Source organism: Homo sapiens, chromosome 11, assembly GCF_000001405.40.
Source record: "Homo sapiens chromosome 11, GRCh38.p14 Primary Assembly".
Lineage (NCBI taxonomy): Eukaryota > Metazoa > Chordata > Mammalia > Primates > Hominidae > Homo > Homo sapiens.
The window spans coordinates 32,748,482-32,762,502 of record NC_000011.10 but is presented as its reverse complement, the minus strand read 5'-3'; the positions used below and the strand labels follow the sequence as shown (position 1 = coordinate 32,762,502).

At 36.9% G+C, this 14,021-nt stretch overlaps 1 protein-coding gene and 2 pseudogenes across 4 annotated transcripts in view; 2 read left to right on the top strand and 1 right to left on the bottom strand.

The window, feature by feature from the left end:
- CCDC73 (coiled-coil domain containing 73) overlaps window positions 1–14,021 on the top strand; it is a 227,865-nt gene that overhangs the window by 68,083 nt on the left and 145,761 nt on the right. For 3 of the 4 annotated variants that reach the window (XM_047427029.1, NM_001008391.4, XM_047427030.1), the window contains one exon: window positions 2,245–2,394. The exons of the other annotated variant lie outside the window; for it this stretch is intronic. In XM_047427029.1, the coding sequence (XP_047282985.1) occupies window positions 2,260–2,394 (135 nt within the window). In that variant the 5' untranslated portion in view covers window positions 2,245–2,259. The remainder of the gene's footprint in view (window positions 1–2,244; window positions 2,395–14,021) is intronic. 4 annotated transcript variants of the gene reach the window in all.
- Window positions 3,843–4,276, top strand: RPL34P2 (ribosomal protein L34 pseudogene 2; annotated as a pseudogene).
- On the bottom strand, window positions 3,883–4,235 carry LOC124902803 (60S ribosomal protein L34-like; annotated as a pseudogene).

Genomic DNA, 14,021 nt, shown 5'->3' with positions numbered 1-14,021 from the left:
TTCTACTTAATGTAGTGAGTCTCTTATTAGACTTTGGTAAGCCCTAAGTTTGAATTCCATACATTTTAAATCAGACTCCATAAGAGCTATAGTTTAATTTTGCTTCATTTGCCAAATGCCCACAGGGTAAAGATAGCTGTTAGTGCTTGGTCTGCTTCTTGGTTCTTGGTCTCTTTCAGAATTTAGAATTTGATTCCATAATTTTTTATTATCTTTTCAGTCTTTGATGCTTTTGAGAAGATTTTAAAATGTTTTATTTAGAATTTTTAGTTATTTTTAGTAGGAGGATTGGTCCAAATAACATATCTCATCATTTTCAGTAATGGAAATTTTCCTTTTAGAAAGTTTCTTTCAGGCACACTGCTGTTAATTTTATGTGTCAACTTGGCTAGGTTGTAGTACCCAGATATTGGGTCAAACAGCAGTCTACATAATGTTGTGAAGGTATTTTATGGCTGTGATTAACATTTAAATCAGCAGACTTTGAGTAAAGCAAATTACTCTCCATAATGTGGGTGGGCCTCATCCAATCAGTTGAAGGCCTTAAGAGAAAAAGGTTAGGGTTGTCCAAGGAAGTGGGAATTTTGCTTCCAGACTGCTTTTGGACTTGAGCTACAACATCCACTCTTTCCTGAGTCTCTAGCCTGCTGGTCAGCCCTAAAGATTTCAGAGTTGTCAGCCGCCACAATTGTGTAAGCCAGTTCCCTAAAATCTCTCTCTCTCTGCGTGTGTGTGTGTAGGTCTGTGTCTATATATATGTGCATATGAGTCTTTTGCACATATATACATACACCCCCCCATATATACACACACATACCCATCCTATTCTGTTTCTCTGGAGAATGCTTATTAGTATAATACTTATCAGAATGGCTAAAATAAAAACAATAGTGATAACAGCAAATGCTGGTGGAAATTTGGAGAAACTGTATTACTTGTACATTGCCAGTGGGAATGGAAAATGGTACAGCCACTCTGGAAAATAATGTGGCAGTTTCCTTTACAACTAAAAATGGACTCAATATTCACTCAACCCAACAATTTTACTCTTGGGCGTTTATCTCTAAGGAATGAAAAATTATGGTCACAGAGAAATGTGTACATAAATGTTTATAGCACCTTTATTCATAATAGTCACAAACTGGAAACTACTAAAATGTTATTCAGTGGGTGAGTAGTTCAGTAAATAATACATTCATACCATGAAATACTACTAAACAATAAAAAGGAATGAATTACTGATACATGTAACAATCTGGATGAACCTTAAAAAAAAAGCTATAGGTTACATGATGTGTGATTCCATTTATGAGCACTCTTGAAACAACAAAATTACGGAGATAGATAACAGATTAGTATTTTCTCAGAGTTAAGGATGGGGGAAGAGAGTGGGTATGACCACAGAGAAGCTGCTTGAAGAAGCTTGTATTGATGCTAGAGTTCTGTATCTTAAATTGAGGTCATAGTTATATGAAGCTATAAATATGATAAACTTGCCAAAAGCATATATACACACAGACACATGCACACAAATAAGTACATGTATAACTGGTAAAGTGCTAATAAGCTCCGTGGATTGTACCAAAGTCAGATGCACATTTTTAATATTGTACTCTTGTTATACAAGATGTTAACATTTGCGGGGGTTATTGAGAGAATGGTGTATAGGACTTCACCGTACATTCTTTTGCAACTACCTGTGAATTGATCATTGTTTCATACTGAAAAGTTGAAAAGTTTCTTGCAGCCTGACTCATACATTTTCTGGGTTGAGAAAAATATTTAACTATCTTGGTTTTTAATAAAAGGCAATTTTTCCAGCCTTCGTCTTCCAACTATGTTGAGTTTAAAGATTGCATGTTACTATTCATATCATCTTTGCAAAGAAGCTTTATGTCAAGGCAAAGTTTAGGAAGCAGAATGTGTATCCCAGCTTTGGCATGAAGCAACTTGCCTGCAACATCATGAACCCAGCCTTTAGAAGATGGGTCTTTAGGGGAAGAAAATTTAGCCTTTGAGGGTACTCAGCTACCAGAAAAAGCTTCAACCATAGGGAAACAGAATAATACCATTTTTGCTAAGTGTTTTTTTGGTCAACATTAGAGTGGAGTGATGACACAACTGTTATTCAGTGCTGAAATTGGAGGATTATGGGATACAGGTTGTTATATTTTTATGGTAACTATGCTTTTACTTGAAAAACCTAGATAATTTTTTTTCAGTTAAGACCTTTTTACATTACAGGAAATAAATATTAATATGGAAAGCAACTTCAATACTGAGTCATCATCTACTTTTACTCTTCAAAGTTCTTCAGAGACATTGTTTTCTATTCAGCTATTAGATTTCAAAACAAGTTTACTGGAGGCATTAGAAGAATTGCGTATGAGAAGGGTAAGCTCCTTTTTAAAATGCTTTTGTTAAATAAGAAAACTTGATTTTGTTCAGTTTATTGTTTTTTAAAGAATAAAAAGCCTAAAAAATCCCTCTTGTTTAGAAATAAAATATATAGTCCAATTAATGAAGTAAAAGAGAATAGGACAGATTAAGTAAATGATCAGGGAATGGGAAATAAGAATTTGGAAACTAAAGCACAAAATAAAAGAAGAGTTTTCAGATTAAGTACTTGATAAGTCAGCTAGTATTTATTGAGTCCCTGGGAGTGCACAGATAGCACCCTCTTTAGACACATGGCTGATGAAAAATAATCGCTCTTGGGGAGATTACATTTTTGTTAAGGTTATTATATAGATGCCTATGAAATGATTAAATAATGAAACAAGGCAGTATATGATTAAGTGACAAAATAAATGTATGTAGTAAATATTCTGGGTTGAAAGAATCAAATATCTTTATTTTAAAAAGTGATAACTGTGATTTTTTCTTAAAGGATATGTCTAGTATAAAATTGTAAAAGATGAGGCAGGTGGATCACTTGAGGCCAGGAGTTCGAGACCAGCCTGGCCAACATGGTGAAACCCTGTCTCTACTAAAAATACAAAAAATTGGCTGGATATGGTGGCGCATGCTTGTAGTCCCAGCTGCTCAGGAGGCTGAGGCATAAGAATTGCTTGAACCCAGGAGGTGGAGGTTGCAGTGAGCCAAGATCACGCCACTGCACTACAGCCTGGGTGACGGAGCAAGACTCTATCTCAAGAAAAAAAAAAAAAAAAAAGGAAAAAATGTTGGTTTCAGCAGGCTATCTATATTGTGCAAATCCCATTAAAAAGCATTTTATTTCTGAGACTTGTATGGGTCTAAATTTTAACTCTATATAGGATAGATTGGAGCTTGGAAGATTCTCGAGAGAAAAAAAACCATAAAACTATTGCAATAAGGATATAGAAATGAGTTCACTAGGACATATATATGACCATGAAGATAGAACAGAAGAGGCAGAAAGAAGAATCAATAGAATTTACTGACTTTCTGAAAATAAGCTATAAATGAGAGAAAAAGATCTGAAACAACATTTTTATTATATAATAATACAAATATTGTTCTAGGATTTTAAAATATTGAAATTTATTGTTACAATAACAAAATTTAAATACCACAGTGTTCATCCTATTTAAAGCTACTTATTATTGTAATAAAAGTCTGTTTTAAGATGAAATTCTGCTAAAAATGGTATTTTGGGTAAGTATTATAAAGAAGTGTTTTTGTAAAATTAGCTTAAAATGTTATCTTTCCTAAGTGAAACAACTTTTGGTCACTATTTAAAACTTAGTATTCTGTTTTATTATGTTTTAAATTTTATACTTTGGTCTGTTTATATTTCCAACTTAAAAAATATGCTTCCTTTAAAAATTTTCTGAAAAATTTCAGATTAGAAAAGGAATAGCGTTTTTTTTTTCTTTTATTACCCAAGAAAGCTTCATTTTAAAATTTAGCTTTCAAACTCTGTGCTTGTGCCTTCAACACTTTCACAAGGATTTTCTGCTCCTTGATGAAGAAAGCATGTTTGATCCTGTCATGGACACAATTAGCATACATGGAACCACCATAGGCTCTGCTGACACATTTTTTCAAGATAACCTCATAAGAACTTTAGGTCTCACAGCACAAACTCCTTGAAATCTACTTGGAGGCATGCCACGTGGAGATTTTGGTGCTTTCCTAACCTTCTTGGTATAAAGGTAAACAATTCTATTACCAGGGGTTTGGGACAGCCTAGTTTTGTTAGAGGCTGTATTGTAGGAAAGCCCATGATGATACGTCAAATGCTGGACCATTTTGAGTGCATCTAGATGCCATCCCTGGATGAAGAGGAAAATGTTTTTAATAATCAAATGTAAAAGTATATAATACTAGCAATCAAATTCCTCATTGAAAAGAGAGCTTTCTTCTTAAAAAGGGGAAAAAATCCCTTACTTTCATTAGAAAAAGACTGTTACTGTTTTTCCCATTTACCCTGATGGCGGTACTTGACCTGTATTCCTAGATTTCCCCCTCAACATTTTAGTAGGAAAATTTCAAACATACGTAATACTTGAAAGAACTTTACAGTGAACACCCATATACCCATTGTGGTAGACAGAATATGGCACCCAAGCATGTCCATGTCCTAATTTCAAGAACCTGTGAATATGTTACCTTATATGGCAAAAGGAATTTTGTAGGTGTGATTAAATTAAGCATTTTGAGATGGAGGGATTATGCTGGATTATTCGAATGGGCCCAGAGTACTCATAAGCATTCATATAAGAGGGAGACAGGAGAATCAGAGTCTGAGAAAGAGATGTGATAGTGGAACTAAAGGTTATAGTCGAAGAGAAAGCGACTGGAAGATGTTATGCTGCTAGCTTTGAAGATGGAGGAAGATGCTATGAACAAAGGAGCATATGTAAGTGGAAGCTGGAAGAAGCAAGGAAATGGATTCTCCCCCAGAGACTGTAGAAGGTATGCCGCCCTGCAGATACCTTGGACTTCTGACCTCCAGAACTGCAACAGAATAAATTTGAGTTGTTTTAAGCCACTAAGTTTGTTGTTATTTGTTACAGTAGTAATAGTAACCTAATGTACCTACTAATCAGATTCTATGCTTGATCTCATAGTATATCTATCTGTCATTGGTCTTATTTTTGGGATTCATTTCCAAATAAGTTGGAAATTATATGCTTCAGTATGTATATTATTAACTGGATTTTAATAATATTTGTTTATTTTTTCTTTCAATATAAAATTTATGTAGAATAAAATTCTTCACCCCTTTTCATCCAGAGGCAGCCCCTGTTCTAATTTTTTTCACTAAAGATAAGCTTATCTCTGTTCTAGATTTTTATATAAAGGGAATCATTCAGTATTTTTTTTGTGCAAGTTTTTTTTAACTCAGTGTAGTATTTTTGAGATTTATTCTTGTTGTGTGTGTTTGTAGTCAGTTCGTTTTTATCATTGAATAGTATCTATAATATAAATGTACCATAGTTTGTTGTTTTCATTAACATAGTTATGGATACCTAAGGGATTTTCAGTTGTTGTTTTTTATGAATACAGTTGCTATTCATATTGCTGTGCATATTCTTGTACCAGACATTTTGCAGGCATGTGTGATAAGCAAGAACAGATCTTATTCAGGAACTACTTATGAGATACTGATTTTGTCTCATGCCCTCCCAAATCTTTATTGCAAATTTTTAATACTTCTCATTAATAGTTTCTGAAGAGATCTTTTTATTTAGCATTTAAAACAGAGTGCAAAAAGATTGATACAATTAAAAATGAATAATTATATTTAGTTTTTGAAGATAAAAAAGTGGAATTAAAACACTGAACCACAGTTACTGTTAAGCCTGGATGGGACTGATTCTTAGGTCCTTGTATCGTTCGGAAGATATAAAGATACTGACCAACTACAGATATTCTTCAGTTAAGTAGGAATATTAAAATTTTAAGGGTAATGACTAAATAAATAGAAATAGGCTTTACATCTTCCCAAATGGTAGACAGAAAATATACAATTGTAATAAATTATCTTGGACTTGATGTTGTAAATAACCTTTAAAAGGATATATATAGATATAGATATATATGGAGATATATAGAGAGATATATATAGATATATATGGAGATATATATATAGATATATATATGGAGATATATATATAGATATATATATGGAGATATATATATAGATATATATATGGAGATATATATATAGATATATATATGGAGATATATATATAGATATATATATGGAGATATATATATAGATATATATATGGAGATATATATATAGATATATATATGGAGATATATATATAGATATATATATGGAGATATATATATAGATATATATATGGAGATATATATATAGATATATATATGGAGATATATATATAGATATATATATGGAGATATATATATAGATATATATATGGAGATATATATATAGATATATATATGGAGATATATATATAGATATATATATGGAGATATATATATAGATATATATATGGAGATATATATATAGATATATATATGGAGATATATATATAGATATATATATGGAGATATATATATAGATATATATATGGAGATATATATATAGATATATATATGGAGATATATATATAGATATATATATGGAGATATATATAGATATATATGGAGATATATACACAGATATATATATGGAGATATATACACACACATATATATGGAGATATATACACACACATATATATGGAGATATATATATACACATATATGGAGATATATATATATACACATATATATGGAGATATATATATATACACATATATATGGAGATATATATATACACATATATATGGAGATATATATATACACATATATATGGAGATATATATATACACATATATATGGAGATATATATATACACATATATATGGAGATATATATATACACACACATATATATGGATATATATATACACACATATATATGGATATATATGTACATATATATATATATATATATATATATTTTGAGATGGAGTCTTGCTTTGTCACCCAGGCTGGAGTGCAGTGGCACGATCTCAGCTCACTGCAACCTCCGCCTCCTGGGTTCAAGCGATTCTCCTGCCTCAGCCTCCTGAGTAGCTGGGATTACAGGCATGCACCACCACGCCCTGCTAATTTTTGTATTTTTGGTAGAGACAGGGTTTCACCATGTTGGCCAGGCTGGCCTCGATCTCCTGACCTCGTGATCCACCCACCTCAGCCTCCCAAAGTGCTGGGATTACACGGGTGAGCCACCATGCCTGGCCTCTGAAAGGATAATTTAAGGTCTTAATTATTTTCCTAAGCTTTTATCCTGATAAAAAATGTCGAAGCTGACTGGGTGCGGTGGCTCACACCTGTAATCCCAGCACTTTGGGAGGCTGAGGTGGGTGGATCACGAGGTCAGGAGATCGAGGCCAGCCTGGCCAACATGGTGAAACCCTGTCTCTACTAAAAATACAAAAATTAGCTGGGCATGGTGATGGATGCCTGTAATCCCAGCTACGTGGGAGGTTGAGGCAGGAGAATCGCTTGAATCCGGGAGACAGAGGTTGCAGTGAGCCAAGATCGTGCCATTGTACTCCAGCCTGGGTGACAGAGCAAGATTCTGTCTCAGAAAAAAAAAAAAAAAAAAAAAAAAAGTTGAAGCCATCTTCTGTGTACTCTGGAAACTGGTCCAGCTAATTGACATTCCTGGAATTCAATGCTAAAAAGTCTGTTAATGGTAAACTCTTTTAGCCTTTCCTTTTTCTTTTTCCAGAAAAATGTCTTTATTTTGCCATGAAATTGTAGATTACATTTGTGTTCTGTCAGTATTTTAAAGAGATTTTGTTGAGTTCTTTTGCTGCTATTTAGAAGTTTTCTGTCAATTGAATTTTTCCTCTAGGTAATCCATCATTTCTATTTGCTCTTAAGATCTGTTTGTCATTGATGATCTTTATTTTTAATGTGTCTATGTGTGGATTTATCTATATTTTTAGAGATTCATTTTGATGCCTGAATGTTATGAAAAACTTCAGCTGTGGTTTTTTTGAGTATTGCCCCTTATTTTCTCTATTATCTTTTTCTTGAACCCCAAATAGACAGCATATTGGCCCATGTCATTCTATCCTTTCTGACTCTTAACTCTCTTATATTTCTTCCTATTTGCCTCTCTGTACTGAGTTCTGTGTAATTCATTTTGTTGTTTTCTAATTGTCTCTTCAGATGTTTTTACCTGCTATCTAACCTTGCTTAGAGTTTTTAATTTCAATGATTACCTTTTTCATTTCTAGAGTTTCCTTCAAAGGATCCCCAAATTTAATACAGTGCTAATCAAAACCTAATGCAGTGGTTTTTAGAGCTTGGTAGGATGATTCTAAAGTTATATATTTAAGAAAAATGCATGAGAATAGCCAATAACATTTTCAAAAGAGAAGAATGAAGTTCTACTTGCTCTAGCAGATATTAAACCATGTTGAAATGCTGTAATAATTTAAAATGTGACATAGTTGCAGGAATAAATAAATCATTAAAAAGACAAGTCAATTCAATGGGTGAAAAGAACAATAGTCAGTAAGTGGTATTAGGAGCATTCATACATACCTTATACACAAAAATAAAACCCAGGGCTGGGTGTGGTGCCTCACACCTGTAATCCTAGCACTTTGGTAGGCCGAGGTGGGAGGATCACTTGAAGCCAGAAGTTTGAAAACAACCTGGGCAACATGATGTGACCCCATCTCAACAAAAAATCTTAAGAAATTTTATTTGGGACCCAGGCATGGTGGCTCACACCTGTAATCCTAGCACTTTGGGAGGCTGAGGTGGGCTAATCACTTGAGGTCAGGAGTTCGAGACCAGCCTGGCCAACATGGTGAAGCCCCATCTCTATTAAAAATACAAAAAATTAGCTGGGCATGGTGATGGGTGCTTGTAATCCCAGCTACTCGGGAGGCTGAGGCAGAAGAATCACTTGAACCCAGGAGGTGGAGGTTGCAGTAAGCCAAGATCATGTCACTGCACTCCAGCCTGGGCTAAAGAGTGAGACTCTGTCTCAAAAAAAAAGAAAACAAAATTTTAGCTGGGTGTGGTGATGCATGCCTGTAGTCCCAGCTACTTGGAAGGCTGAGGTAGGAGGATCACTTGCCAGAAGGTCAAGGCTGCAGTGAGCTGTGTTTGTGTCACTGCACTGCAGCCTGGGTGACACGGCAAGAGCTTGTCTCAAAAAGAAAAAAAAAAAAAAAAGCAGAAAAGAAAAACTAAATGCAAAGAAAAACACTCTACAAATACTAGAAAACATAAGAAACAATTCTTATATTCTTGGGCATAGAGATTATCCTTCATAAAGGAAAAGATGGCTGGATATGATGACTAGATTCTTAGCTCTTACGGGATAATAGCCATCATAAAGTTAAAAAAAAGTGACTGGCCAGGCACAGTGGCTCATACCTGTAATTCCAGTGCTTTGGGAGGCTGAGGTGGGAGGATCAATCACTTGAGGCCAGGAGTTGGAGGCCAGCCTGGGCAATATAATGAGACCCTTTATCTACAAGAAAAATTTTTAATTAGTTGGACATGATGGCATGTGCCCATAGTCCTAGCTACCTGGGCAGGAGGCTGAGGCAGGAGGATCACTTAATCCCAGCAGTTCGGGGTTACAGTGAGCTGTGATTGTACCACTGCAGTCCAGCATGGATGACAAGCAAGACTTTGTCTCTTAAAAAAAAAGTGATGCAGAGAAAATATTTGCAACATGCAAAACAATAAAAAAATCAATATCTTATTTACAAAATATTCCAAATCAAAACAACCCAACAGAAAAATGAACAGGATGAAGAAATACAAGTAATCATAAAATGTACAAAAATATGCTTAACTTTACTACTAATAAAATAAATGCAGATTAAAACAAAAATGAGATAATCAGTTTTTGATTCCCAGATTGGAAACATACTTAGATTGATGATTTCCAGCATTGGCTGGAGTTTTCAGGAATGAGTACGACTGTATTTTTTCCTTTTTGATGTAAATTAATATAGATAATGGATAGAAATTCAGTTTTATCTGTTTAAACTGGAATTTAAAATTTCACGATCATTAAGTCTGAACAGTTTATATTTTTATCTAGGATAATTTTTTGTTTGAGCTTACTTGGGCAAATATTTTGCTACAGTGATATTTACTATACTGTTGTAATGGGAAAAATTATAAACAGTCTAAATATCTGTGAACAGGCAGTAAATAAATGATGCTGTTATATTTGTGGCTCCCAATGAACCATATTTCATGTCCTTGAGTAGAGCACTCCCACATTAACTTAGCCCAGGTCATGTGACTTTCTTGGCCAACGAAATATTAGCAAGCATGTTACTAAGCAGAGGCTTGGTAAGTACTCTCACACTGGGGCTTTTTCTCTTAGAACAGATCCTCTTGGAAGCCAGAGCTATGTCATAAAGTTCAAAATAGATTATTTAATTATGAGAAGCTACATGGGGAAAGACACTGGAGTGTGAGCGGAAGTCACTGTCATTTCAGCCCTAGCCAAGCTACCATATAAATGCTTCTGCATGAATGACCTTATCCATAGCATGTGAAGCAGACCTGTCTTGCTAAGCCGGATCATTGTACAGAATTGTGAGACCTAATAAAATATTGTTTTAAATTACTAAGTTTTGAGGGTGGGGGCAAGATGGCCAAATAGAAGATTCTACCAATTGTCCTTCCTGCAGGAACACCAAATTTGACAACTACACAAAAAAGCACCTTCATACAGACCAAAAATGAAGTGATCACAGTACCTGGTTTTAACTTCATATTGCTGAAAGAGGCACTGAAGGGAGTTGGAAAGACAGTCTTGAATCTCCAACTCCACCCCTCCCCCAGCCCCTGCAGTGGCCACATGATGTGGAAAAACAATCTGTGCGGTTCAAGGAGAGTGCAGCAATTGTGGGAACTCAGTGCTGCCAACACCAGGCGGAACCCAGCCGGTGTCTATGGCGGGTGCATTCAGGCTAGCCCTAGCCAGAGGCGAATGACCCATCCCAGTGGTTTGAACTTGAGTTTCAGCAAGCCTTGCCGCTGGGGGGTTTCCAAATAACACCAATCTAGGCCACAAGGACTACACTTCCTAGGCAAGTCCTAGTGCTGTACTGGTCTCAGAGCCAGTGGACTTGGACTGGTCTCGGAGCCATTGGAGAGAGCATGCGACCCAGTGACACACCAGTCGGGGTGGCAAAGGGAGTGCTTATGCCACCCCTCTTCAACCCCAGGCAGTGCAGTGTACAGCTCCCAAAGAGACTCCTTCCTGCTTGAAGAGAGGAGAGGGAAGAGGTAAGAGGATTTTGTTTTGCAACTTGGATACCAGCTTTGCCACAGTAGGATAGGGCACTGGGCAGAGTTATCAGGCTCCCATTCCAGGCCCTAACTCCCAGACAACATTTCTAGACACATCCTGGATTAGACAGGAAACCTGCTGCCTTGAAGGGAAGGATTCAGTTCTGGCAGGATTCACTACCTGCTAACTTAAGAGCGCTTGGGCCTTGAATAATCGGCAGCAATAACCAGGTAGTACATGCTGTGGGCCTTGGGTGAGACTCAGACATGCTGGCTTCAGGTGTGATCCAGCATATTCACAGCTATGGTGGCTATGAGGAGAGACCCCTTCCACTTGAGAAAAGGAGGGGGAAGAATAAAGGGAACTTTTCTTGCAGCTTAGGTACCAGCTTGGCTACAGTGGGGAAGAGCACCAAGTGGGCTCTAGGGGTTCCCAATTCCAGGCATTGGCTCATGGACAGCATCTCTGGACCTACCCTGGGCCAGAGGGGAGCCCACTGTCCTGAAGGGTGTGTCCTGGCCTGGACTTGGGCCTTAAGTGAACATCAGTGGTACCCTGTCAATACTCCCTGTTGGCTGTGGTGGTGGTGGCCATGGGGAGAGATTCCTCTGCTTTGGGAAAGTTGAGGGAAGAACGGGAAGAACCTTGTCTTGTGGTTTTGGTGCCAGCTTAGCCACAGTGGAATAGAGCACCAGGTGGATTTCTTAGGTTTTTGACTCTGGGCCCTGGCTCCTGGATGGCATGGACCTGCCTAGAGCTCAGGGACAGTCACTTCCCTGAAAAGAAGGATACAAGACTGCCTGGCTTTGCCACCTGGTGATTGTAGATCGCTAAGGCCTTGAGTGCACACTGGTGGTAGTCAGGTAGTGGCTATAGCAGGCCTTGGGTAAGACCCAGTGCTGTACTGGGTTCAGGTCTGACCCAGTGCAGTCCCAGTGGTGGTCGTCACAGGGGTGCTTGTGTCACCTGTCCCCCAACTCCAGGAAGCTCAGCACAGAGAGATAATCCATTTATTTGGTAGAAAGTGAGAGTAGAGGCCAGGAGCGTTGGCTCACGCCTGTAATCCCAGCATTTTGGGAGGCTGAGGCAGGCGGATCACGAGGTCAGGAGTTTGAGACCAGGCTGGCCAACACAGTGAAACCCCGTCTCTACTAAAAATACAAAAAATTAGCCGGGCGTAGTGGTCGGTGCCTGTAATCCCAGCTACTTGGGAGGCTGAGGCAGGAGAATGGCTTGAACCCGGGAGGTGGAGGTTGTGGTGAGCCAAGATTGTGCCATTGCACTCCAGCCTGGGCGACAGAGCAAGACTCCGTCTCAAAAAAAAAAAGAAAAAAAAAAAAGTAAGAGGAGAGAATGAGTCCCTGCTTGGTAATTCAGATAATTCTTCTGGATCTTATCCAAGACCACCAAGGCAATACTTCTGAGTCTACAAGAACTACATCGTTATTGGGCTTGTGGTGCCCCCTAGTGCAGATGCGGCTGCAGTGACAAAAAACTTAGATCACAACACTCAGGTCCCTTCAAATACCTGGAAAGCCTTCCCAAGAAGGATGGGTACAAAAAGGCCAGACTGTGAAGACTACAAAAAATACCCCACTCTTCAATGCCCAGACACTGACGAACACTCACAAGCATCAAGACCATCCAGAAAAACATACCTCACCAAACAAACTAATAAGGCAACAGGGACCAGTCCCAGAGAAAGAGAGACATGTGAACTTTCAGAGAAGTCAAAATAGCTGTTTTGAGGAAGCTCAAAGAAATTCAGGATAACACAGAAGAATTTAGAATTCTGCCAAATAAATTTAATAAAGAGATTGAAATAATTAAAAAAGAGTCAAGCAGAAATTCTGGAATTGAAAAATGCAATTGACATACTGAAGAATGCATCAGAGTCTCATAATAGCAGAATTGATCAAGCAGAAGAAAGAATTAGTGAGCTTGAAGACAGGCTGTTTGAAAATATACAGTCAGAGAAAAAAGAAACACACATACAAAATCGAGAAAATAGCCTCAAAAGGGCAAATCTAAGTGTTTTTGGCCTTAAAGAGGACGTAGAGAGAGAGAGGAGTAGAAAGTTTATTCAATGGGATAATAACAGAGAACTTCCCAAATCTTTAGAAAAATATCAATATTCAAATACAAGAAGGTTATAGAAAACCATGCAGATGTAACCCAAAGAAGACTACCTTGAGGCATTTAATAATCACACTCCCAAAGGTCAAGGATAAAGAAAGATTCCTAAAAGCATCAAGATAAAAGAAACAAATAACATACATGGAGCTCCAATACATCTGGCAGCAGACTTTTCAGTGGAAACCTTACAGGCCAGGACATATTTATGGTGCTGAAGGAAAAAAGGTTTTACCCTAGAATAGTATGTACAGTGAAAATATCCTTCAAACATGAAGGAGAAATAAAGACTTACCCAGATAAATAAAAGCTGAGGGATTTCATTAACACCAGACCTGTCCTACAAGAAATGCTAAAGAGAAGTCTTCAGTCCAAAAGAAAAGGATGTTAATCAGTGATAAGAAATCATCTGAAGGTAAAACTCACTGGTAATAGTAGGTACACAGAAAAACACAGAATATTATAACACTGTAAGTGTGATGTGTAAACTACTTATATCTTAAGTAGAAAGATGAAAAGATGAACCAATTAAAAATAATAACTACAACAGCTTTTCAAGACATAGACAGTATAATAAGATATGAATGGAA